Source organism: Homo sapiens, chromosome 3 (assembly GCF_000001405.40).
Source record: "Homo sapiens chromosome 3, GRCh38.p14 Primary Assembly".
Taxonomy (NCBI): Eukaryota; Metazoa; Chordata; class Mammalia; order Primates; family Hominidae; genus Homo; species Homo sapiens.
Window position 1 is genome coordinate 143170676 of NC_000003.12, and position 11080 is coordinate 143181755.

Sequence of the window (11080 nt, forward strand, 5' to 3'; positions counted from 1 at the left end):
TACAGACTTTGGGGAAAGAGAATCCTTCTCCCTGCTTTACCTCTATACAAGTTCAGGCAGCTGTGTATGTGTGTGTGTATGTGTGTGTGTGTGTAATATTGGAACAGGCAGCACAGATGAGGGCTTGGCAGTGAGAGAAACTGTAGCTTTGACCTCTTACTACAAAGTGTGATGAAGAAGGCTTGAATTTTCAAAGAATTCAACTGTGTCTAATACCAGGTCTGTGGTATAACGTTCTTCCTTGGCTGGGTGCCAAAATGTAACATAAATGCTACACCCAGAGCAAAGGGGTAAAAGAGACCCACTAGTGTTTCCAGGGTTAAATTCTCCCTCCTTCACAGAGCCTTCCAGATTCACACAGTCCACTCAAGTCTCTCCTTTGTAGAAGATCCTACAGCATTTAATACTGGATGCTGCTCAGTTTAGCCCTCAATGATAGTGTCTTGCTATTTTTGGTTAGTTTCTTTAAAAATATAACTTCTGTCTTCCATTTACTTAAATCTCTTCCACGGCTTCTTTGCTTCTTGTTACATGAAGCAGTGCTGAACACAGAGGAGGAACTCAGTAACTGTTAATTGTTTTGCTCTCTAATTAGGCCCACGATAGAGTAGATACTATTGGGTGCTGGTTTTTAGGGGTGTAGGAAAGGAATCTGGGGAGTCATCTTCAAAGATCAGATGCACAAATCTTAACAAGCTGCCTCTCTCTAGTGGCCTCAGGGACTTGAAGCAAGATCAACTGACTTAAAGAAATAAACCACAAGTAGTTAAGAAACACAAAAGTTCAAATTGCATCCGGTGTAGCTCTGTGAGAAAATTTCTGCAGCAGAAGGAAGTCTGTTATTCTTGACCTGAACTTTAGTATTCTGCAGTAATGTGGGGCTGCAAAAATGCTCCTAATCTCTGACAAAGTTAGGTTCTTATCCATATATCATAAGTGAAATGAGAGGAATTGACTGATAACAGAGAAAAAATTTCCCACTTGGCACATACAGACAGTGTATGTATATGTGTATATATACATAGATACTTAAATCAAAGTAATTGGTTAATGTAATGGAAATTTAATCTCAGTTTTAAGTGGTGTTTCTTCTTTATTTGATGTGCATTATTTTAAAAACACAGCAGAGACATAGCCTTTAACCACCTCCCCCATGCCTCTGACATTATTCATACTGAAGTTTTCAAGTAGCAGACTTGGAAAGTGCTTTTTAACTACAGCTCATATCATTAGTGTTTCTGCTGTATAAGCAGAAAAAATTGGGATGCAGCTTAGCAAAAGGCTTCAGGACAACATAAAATACAAAGGGTAATAGATCTGTTTCTCAAACAGTTTTCCTGTGTAATGCGCATCCTAATGATTTCTTTTTAATTAAAATATTTTCACAAGTCTCAGAATGAGTAACCTAAGACTATTTTGTTGGGATAATCTGTATTTCCTGAGATGTGTTAACTTCAGGGTCACTGGTCTTTATTCAGTTCTTGCTCTGCCAGGCCACAGGCTGCCTCATTCTCTCCTTTGCCCTCACAGCTTGGTATCAGCTCCTAATTTTGCATCTGGGCTCTAAACTGGACTTTCCAGCTCCCTGATGGACATTTCAGAAATGTTCTATTGATGTTTCTAACGCAACAAGCCTCATGATATTATCCTTGTGTTAACATCATTGTGACATCCTCCACACACCCAAGTCAACTTGGACTTATTTTTCTGTCTCCTACAAGCAATGGCTGCTAAGTCCTGTTGATTCTGGCTTTGAAATGTCTAGAGAATACCCTCTCATGTAGTCACTTCTATTTTTGTTGCCCTAGTTCAGGCCGTACTCTCTCTTGCTTGCCTGGACCATGACAAGTAGCTGTCTAGTTGGTCTCATGGGCTGCTATCGATTTCCTCTCAAGAGTACCCTTGAAGTTGCCCCAGAGTGCTCTTCCTAAAGAATGACTTGGTGATGTCCCTTTCCTACTGAAAAAACTTGTGGTAAGTCCCAACTGCCTACTGAATCTGTTTCCAACTTTACTCTTCAGCCTCATTTTCTGCAACTCCCTGTCATCTCCCCATGCTGAACCCCAAGAGACAACTCACGATTGCTCGATGAGATGTCCAATTTCATTCCTTTGTGCTGTTGCTTGGGTTGTTTAATGCCTAGAAACTTTAGCAAGACAACATGCAAATATTCTGCAGCTTCTCTGTGCCCCCTCACACCTGCCTGCTCCAAGCGTCATTCTTCCTTTGCAGTTAAAAAAAAATCCGTTTTGGCAGGCTTTATGCAGAATTTGTTTACATTTCTATCTCTCTTACACATGAAACTTGAACTGCTAGACAACAGAGATAATGCAATTTATATCTTTGTTTCTTTAAAGACTCAAGTTGGTGATAGATGCTTATTAAGTGCCCAGTGAATTCTTGTTGAATAAATGAATTGTTGCCTTCTTTGTGAATCTTTATCCAGTTCTCTGAAGCAAACATTATTTTGTATTTATCTTTAAGTTTTTTCTCTTTGTATTTGGTTTCCAGCAGATTTCCATGATGTGTGTTGGCACGTTTTTCTTTCTGTTTATCTTCATGGGGATTGAAGGGCTTCTTGAATCTGTGGCTTGACGTTTTTTTGTCAGCTTTGAAAAATTCTTGGTCATTATCACATATTGCTTTGCCTCCTGTCTTTCCCTCCTCTTTTGGACTCTAATTCCATATATGTTAAATTTTTCTACTAGGTGCCATAGGTCTCCTATATTTTTTTCTATCTTTTTTCTCTGTGCTTCATTCTGAGTAATTTCCATTGTTTTATCTTCCAAATTGCTAGTCCCTTTTCCAGCTGTGTCTAATCTTCTGTTAAGTCTATTTATTGAGTTCTTAGTTTGTAATATCAGTTTAGATTTTTCATTTGATTTCTTTTTTGTAGATTCTAATTTTCTGGTTACTTTTTTTCAATCTTATCTATTTTTATCAGCTTATCAATCATAGGATTTTAAGGTATTTATATAACTCCTTGGATTTCTAGAGAGTCTATTTCTATAATCTTTTAAAAAATTTCTTGGTCATATCTCTTGATATGTTTGTTAACATTTTATCGAATGCCAAATATATATATAAAATAGCAGAGATTATGAATGATACTTTCTTTTTCCAGGGAAAACTTAAAAACTATTCCAGCACTGTAACACTGCTGATAGTCCTGCCCAGTTTCTTATAGTCTCAGAAGCCACTATATGCCTCTCTATAGGTGCTTCTTATCAATCAGTAAATGCCTCAAGGGGAAAAATGTTTGCCCACATGGTTGGGCTCATTTCTTTCTGCTTCCTTTCTCTCCTGGATCTTGACCCTTTAAGTTCTGATTGTCTTGCTGGCCCTGGACTCCTAGCCCTGTTAGGTGGTGAAAGTTCTGTTCTGCTTTTTTTTTTTTTTTTTTTTTTGCTTCTTAGCAGCTGCTTTCTACTTGGCTTCTCAGTCCTTCCACACATGCTGCATATGAATCAGAAAATGCTCTGAAGAGAAAAGTAGTGATTTGGGCTCACCTCAGTGAGTTTCTCTTCACTCTGGACTCCTGGCCCTGAAAATCCTGGCTTCCTTGAGTTTCCAATGTCTTCAAAACAGGTTGTTTTTGTTTTTGTTTGTTTGTTTTCCATTTTATCACACCTTTGTGGTTTGTTCACTGGGATGTTTGCACTGCCATAAAGTAGTTTGCCATGGCTAGATGTGGGAGTCTGTGTGTTCTTCTATTATGATGCTTTCTTCTACTATAAATTTCTTTCATTTGTGAGTTCTGTGAGAACAAGGACAGTAATTTATTTCATTTATCTCTTGTAAAATGCCAACTCATTCATTAATTCACTCAACATAGGTTTTGAGCACCTACTATGTTGCCAAGTAGTTGCCAAGTGCTGAGGACAGAGCAGTGAAGAAGATGGACAAAGTCTCAGCTGTCATAGGGCGCATGTCCCAGCATGGGACAGGGCACACAAACAAACAAATAGCAAGAATATCAAATAGTAAAAGGTGTTGTGTACAGGATTAAATTCAAATGCTGAGGGAGAAGGTGGGTGGCTACTTAAAGCCTTCTCTAAATGGGTAACCATTACTTTGAGGTCTGAATGACAAGAAAAAGTCAGCCATGAGGAGATCTAGGGAATTTCCAGGCAGAGAGAGGAGCAAAGGTGAGGGACCAGGGAGTTTGCTAAAGTGGATTAAATTTGTGGGATTCTAAATTAAAAATTTTAACATAAGCTTCTTTTTTTAACCTCTGAGACTATATATGTATAGGCAAATATCCTATTTTTGTTTAAAAATGAGAAGAATTAGGATTTACATAAAATTGTTGTATTTTTATCAGAGCTCTGTTATCAGTTAAGGTCTTAGCAAAAACCAATCCAATTCACATAGTTCAAGAGACTGCAAAGAAGAGGCTCCTTAAGGGGTGTGGACAGGATTAAGAGAACGAGCAGGGTTGCTGAGGCACCCAGAGACTAGCAACAGTGGCAGTCATTACCACCCCAGGCCTGAAGGGATGAAGAACATTGCAAAGTGCTTTACTCCAGTCTGGTGGGAGCTGAAGTCAGGGAGAGATGTAGTCGCTACCAGAAAACATGCTGCAGGGCAGGGTGGGAGCAGGAAGGCAACATCTTCTCTTCTTTTTCCTCCTGCCTCACCTTGAGGGGTCGGTCTTGGCCAAACCCAACCAAGAGCCAGCTGGCAGTGGAGCCAGGTTGATGTGGTCCAGTGGAGGCAGTCTCCAAGGCTGCACAGAGAGGGGCAAGAATGGGCCTGGGGAGAGGCACAAACCAACCACACCCTCAGGTGCATTTTTGAGATGACAAGCAAGAATGAATTTGGAAAGTTTATAGGCTTCTTTTGTAGCTTCAGCCTTACTAGGACTTACATGATATAAAGTGCCTTTCCTACGTCGAGAATAGGGGGTCTGAAGGGTTTTCAGTCATACATTATGTCTTTAAGGACAGAAATTTTTTTTGAGGAAACTTGCAATTAGCTTGGGAGACTATGAGGACATAAGAATATGTGGAGTTTTGAAGGAAAGTTTTAGGGCAGAGTCTGGCATTTGTGCTAGTAAGAGGAAGAGACCCAGCGAGAGACTGGGGACAAAGCTTTAAGTCAGAGAGAGGTCAGAGAAGAAGGTGCCTGCAGTGGAACATGAAATCCTCAGTGTAAATTCACCAATACCCAAAAAGAGTCCTTTAAATCTGGCCATACACTGAAAATCTGTCTGCTAACAAAGGGTTCATGATATCCAAGCAAATATGGTATATGACCCAGAAATAGCTATTTTTTCAATTCAGCAATTTAAAATAGCAAAATCTTGAAATTTTATTGCCCAGGATATACAAAAGTACTCATACACACTTGTCTGCATACCCACCAACACAAAATGTCAATGTGGACACACACTCCCGCTTGGGCCTCCTCTCTCTCTCCGGCTCCATTTTCTCCGCCGCCGGGGGCCGGGGTCTCCTGTGGGGGGCCCAGCCGGTATCCCAGGTCTCCCTTCAGTGCCGGGGTGAACCCCCGGGGGAGCCGAGAGCCGGGGGCAGACGGGCGGGGGTTGGGGCGGAGGGAGCAGCGGCCCCAGCGAGTTTGTGGGGAGAAGTAACCAAGCGGGGGGAGGGGCTGAGCAGGGAGGGGGCCTCAGGGCCCCCCCCCAGCTATGGACTAACGGCTACTGGGGCCGCCTCCTCCAGGCGGGGCCCGGGGGGGGCCTGGGATTGGTGAGTGGGGAGCCTGGGGGCCCTGGCGAGCCTCCTGGTGGCGGAGACCCCGGTGGGGGTAGCGGGGGGTTCCCGGGAGGCCGAGGGAAGCAAGACATCGGGGACATTCTGCAGCAGATAATGACCATCACCGACCAGAGCCTGGACGAGGCCCAGGCCAAGAAACACGCCCTAAACTGCCACCGAATGAAGCCTGCTCTCTTTAGCGTCCTGTGTGAAATCAAGGAGAAAACCGGCCTCAGCATTCGGAGCTCCCAGGAGGAGGAGCCGGTGGACCCACAGCTGATGCGCTTGGACAACATGCTTCTGGCAGAGGGTGTGGCTGGGCCCGAGAAAGGGGGCGGCTCAGCAGCAGCAGCTGCAGCCGCTGCAGCCTCTGGTGGTGGCGTGTCCCCTGACAACTCCATCGAACACTCGGACTATCGCAGCAAACTTGCCCAGATCCGTCACATATACCACTCGGAACTGGAGAAGTATGAGCAGGCATGTAATGAGTTCACGACCCATGTCATGAACCTGCTGAGGGAGCAGAGCCGCACCAGGCCCGTGGCCCCCAAAGAGATGGAACGCATGGTGAGCATCATCCATCGAAAGTTCAGCGCCATCCAGATGCAGCTGAAGCAGAGCACCTGCGAGGCTATGATGATGCTGCGCTCCCGTTTCCTGGATGCCAGACGAAAGCGCCGTAACTTCAGCAGACAGGCCACTGAGGTCCTAAATGAGTATTTCTACTCCCACCTGAGTAACCCATATCCTAGTGAGGAGGCCAAGGAGGAGCTTGCCAAGAAGTGTGGCATCACCGTGTCTCAGGTCTCCAACCGGTTTGGCAACAAGAAGATTCGCTATAAGAAAAACATCGGAAAGTTCCAAGAGGAGGCAAACATCTATGCTGTCAAGACAGCCGTGTCAGTCACCCAGGGGGGCCACAGCAGCACCAGCTCCCCGACACCCCCTTCCTCTGCAGGCTCTGGCGGCTCTTTCAATATCTCAGGATCTGGAGACATGTTTCTGGGGATGCCTGGGCTCAACGGAGATTCCTATTCTGCTTCCCAGGTGGCATCACTCCGACGCTCGATGGGGCCAGGGGGCTATGGGGATAACCTCGGGGGAGGCCAGATGTACAGCCCACGGGAAATGAGGGCAAATGGCAGCTGGCAAGAGGCTGTGACCCCCTCTTCAGTGACATCCCCAACGGAGGGACCAGGGAGTGTTCACTCTGATACCTCCAACTGATCTTGCCCCTCAGGGTCACAGGGGTGGGGGCTCTCACAAGGCGACTCTTGAAGAGGACGCAGGCTTCCAGAGGACAAACCCCAATACAGGAGAAGCACAAGACAGAGAAGGGCCAATGGGGTCATCCGCTCCCTAATGAGACTGTCTGTGCTGGGGGTGCTAATTACATGGCAGGAAGAATGGGGCCCCTAAGGGGAGTGTGGGGTCTGTCTCTCCCTTTTTTCCAACTTTTTCCTCTCTCGCTTTCTTTCTTACACAGAAACATGCACATACCCAGAAACCTATTTTCTCAGACCCCTTTTTCTCCTCTGTCTTTCTCTCTCCCTCTCCCACACCTCACACACACATACTCCCACTTGCAACTATTCTGTTTCTCTCCTGGGCTCCCCCACTTTCCCTTCCCCACCCCACTTGTAGGCTCTGGAATCTGGAGACGCCAGCCCTGCCCAATCAGAGATGCCAAAAATGGGGACATGACTTCTGGACAGAGGACATGGGACACGCCCCCATGCATCCCCACCCCTGCCCCTCCAGACAGCTTACTTACCTCATACGCAGCTCATCTTAAACCAATAGAATCGCTTGGTGGACGAGAGTGTCTGACTCAGATATCTACCTCGGAGGGAGTTTCTGCTACTTTAGGGAATTATTGACTGGGCTTTGGGGTTGAACTTTTTTTTTTTTTTTTTTTTAAAGAAAGAAAAAGAAACCCTGGGATCCATCTGTTTTTGTTGTTGTTGTTGTTTTTGTTGTTGTTGTTGTTGGTGGTGGTGGTTCTTAATTTTTAATTTAGTTTGGGGAAGTAGCTTGTTTTTTTTTTTTAAATAAATATGTTGATTTCTTGTCTTTTTTTTATTTCTTACTTTCCCATATTAGGGGTGATAGCCAAAGGGGTTCTGGTAAGAGAAAGGGGGACAAACAGAACTGGTAAAGAGGCCCCCCTGGCTCCAGGCCTGTCCATCAGGAAGTAAATTTTACAGGGCACCAAGCTTTGCCCCCTAAAATCCATTAGGTGTTCTTTGTTCATGCAGGCAGGTTTCTGCCGCATTTGATGTGGAGGCAGTGAAGGGCTTGCCCTGCTGGCCTCTCATCCCCCTTCTTCCCACAACCCTTGGGCAGGGCTGGACTCAGTAATTTTGAGGAAATTGAAGATGCCATCTTCCCCTGTGAGTGACATGTCTTTAATTTTTTAAAAAACTCTATTTGAAAATTGGAGGGGGAAGAATGGGAAGGGAGTTATTGCCAAATATGTTAATTATGGGTTGGGGTGCTTGTATATGTATCTTCCTCAATTTCCGCATAAATGAGGTATCTTTTTGTCACACCAAAATCAAGGGGTAGGGAGAGGGAGGAGGTTGCAAAAAGCCAGATGTGGGGGAAAAGTAACATCAACACTGTCCCATCCTCAGCCCTGAACCCTACCATCTGATCCCCTCAGACATTCTCAGGATTTTACAAGACTGTCAGAGTGGGGAACCCCTCCCATTAAAGATCCGGGCAGGACTGGGGACAGGTTGGAAATGTGATGGGTTGGGGGGTGGGAGGCATGGGCCGGGGGCAGTTCTCTCCTCACTTGTAAACTTGTGTAGTTTCACAGAAAAAAAAAATGCAGTTTTAAATAAAGAAATTTCTTTAAAAAAAAAAAATGTCAATGTGTCCCTAGGCCTGGAGACCATGTGTGATTAGGCTAAGTTATATTTAGTTCCTATCTAATATTTTCCCATAAAATATTCCAAACTGAACAATCTCTCATTTCTACATTTGAATATTGTGTAACTTGCCAGTGAATATTTTTTTTGTTACTTTCTAAATTTCCATTGTTTCTTTTTCACATGAAAAATAGGACAGTTCTTAGATGGGGAAAGGCAACAGGATAAATCTGTGGTTCAAAGGATATAAGCACTATTTTATTACTGAAAACTTGAAATGACTTATTATGTGGCATATTATTCTTCTCAAAAGCCTCGTTAGTATTTACCATTTTAAGAACTTTATACATTTTTAACTCATTAAGTCTCACAGAGACAATGTGAAGCAGGTACTAATGTTATTATTGTCATTATAGGCATGGAAAGCTGAGAGCTGTGGCACAGGGAGGTGAAATAACCAGCACAAAGCCGTACAGTTGACAAGCGAGGAAGCCAGGGTTCAAATCCAGGAAGTCTGGCTCCAGAGTCTGTGGGCTAAACCACTATGCCTAGTGTTCAATGGAGACTTGAGTTTATGATAATCTCGCTGCTGTAGGGTTCAGATTTGCATATTATGAAATGAAATGTTTATAAACGTTCCAACCAACGTTTTCTTTTTTATTTTTTTCTTCTTCAACTTTTATTTTAAACTCAGGGGTACATGTGTAGGATATACAGGTTGTTACATAGGTAAATGTGTGCCATCGTGGTTTGCTGCGCAGATCATCCCATCACCTAGGTATTAAGCCTAGAATCCATTAGCTATCTTTCCTGATGCTCTCTCTCCCCCACCCCCTCCCCTGACAGGCCCCGGTGTGTGTTGTTCCCCCTCCATGTGTCCATGTGTTCTCATCATTCTGCTCCCACTTATAAGTGAGAACATGCAGTGTTTGGTTTGGCTTTCTGTTCCTGTGTTAGTTTGCTAAGGATAATGGCCTCCAACTCCATCAATGTCCCTGCAAAGGACATGATCTCCTTCTTTTTTATGGCTGCATAGTATTCCATGGTGTATATGTACCACATTTTCTTTATCCAATCTATCATTGATGGGCATTTAGGTTGAGTCCATGTCTTTGCTATTGTGAATAGTGCTGCAATGAACATACACATGCATGTATCTTTATAAAAGAATGATTTATATTCCTTTGGGTATATGCCCAGTAATGGGATTGCTGGGTCAAATGGTATTTCTGCCTCTAGGTCTTTGAGGAATTGTCACACTGCCTTTGACAGTGGTGGAACTAATTTACATTTCTACCAACAGTGTGAAAACACTTCTTTTTCTCTGCAACCTTGCCAGCATCTGTTGTTTTTTTGACTTTTTAATAATAGTCATTCTGACTGGTGTGAGATGGTATGTCATTGTGGTTTTGATTTGCATTTCTCTAATGATCAGTGATGCTGAGCTTTTTTTAACATTTGTTGGCTGCATGTATGTCTTTTTTTTTTTTGAGACGAAGTCTAGCTCTGTCACCCAGGCTGGAGTGCAGTGGCGTGATCTCGGCTCACTGCAACCACTGCCTCCTGGGTTCAAGCAATTCTCTGCCTCAGCCTCCCAAGTAGCTGGGATCACAGGCACCCACCATCATGCCTGGCTGATTTTTGTATTTTTAGTAGAGACAGGGTTTCACCATCTTGGCCAGGCTGGTCTTGAACTCCTTACCTCAGGTAATCTGCCTGCCTCGGCCTCCCAAAGTCCTGGGATTACAGGCTTGAGCCACCAGGCCCAACGTATGTCTTCTTTTGAGAAGTGTCTGTTCATGTCTTTTTCCCATTTTTTAATGGGGTTGTTTGTTTCTTATAAATTTATTTAAGTTCCATGTGGACTCTGGATATTAGACCTTTGTCAGATGGATATATTGCAAAATTTTCTCTCATTCTGTAGGTTGCCTGTTCACTCTGATGATAGTTTCTTTTGCTGTGTAGAAGCTCTTTAGTTTAATTAGATCCCATGTGTCAATTTCTGCTTTTGTTGCAACTGCTTTTGGCAATGCATTTGTCATGAAATCTTTGCCTCTCTCTATGTCCTGAATGGTATTGCCTAGATTTTCTTCTAGAGTTTTTATGGTTTTGAGTTTTACATTTAAGTCTTTAATCCATCTTGAGTTAATTTTTATATATGGTGTAAGGAAGTAGTCCAGTTTCAATTTTCTGCGTATGACTAGCCAACACTCCCAGCACCATTTCTCAAATAGGGAGTATTTCCCCATTGCTTGTTTTTGTTAAGTTTGTAGAAGATCAGATGGTTGTAGGTGTGCAGTCTTATTTCTGGATTCTCTGTTCTGTTCCATTGGTCTGTGTCTGTTCTTGTACCAGTGTCATGCTGTTCTTGTTATTGTAGCCTTGTAGTGTAGTTTGAAGTCAGGTAGCATGATGCCTCCAGGTTTCTTCTTTTTGCTTAGGATTTTCTTGGCTATTTGGGCTCTTTTTTGATTCCATATGAATTTG

At 43.5% G+C, this 11080-nt stretch overlaps 1 pseudogene, besides 1 other annotated feature; it reads left to right on the top strand.

Annotated features, from left to right (window-relative positions):
* Nucleotides 502-641: an enhancer, noted in NCBI's record as "active region_20652". NCBI's record gives its function as "activates an Ori minimal core promoter by ATAC-STARR-seq in GM12878 lymphoblastoid cells {active_cell/tissue: GM12878}" and the evidence as "EXISTENCE:reporter gene assay evidence [ECO:0000049][PMID:35858748]".
* Nucleotides 5387-8578, top strand: PBX2P1 (PBX homeobox 2 pseudogene 1; annotated as a pseudogene).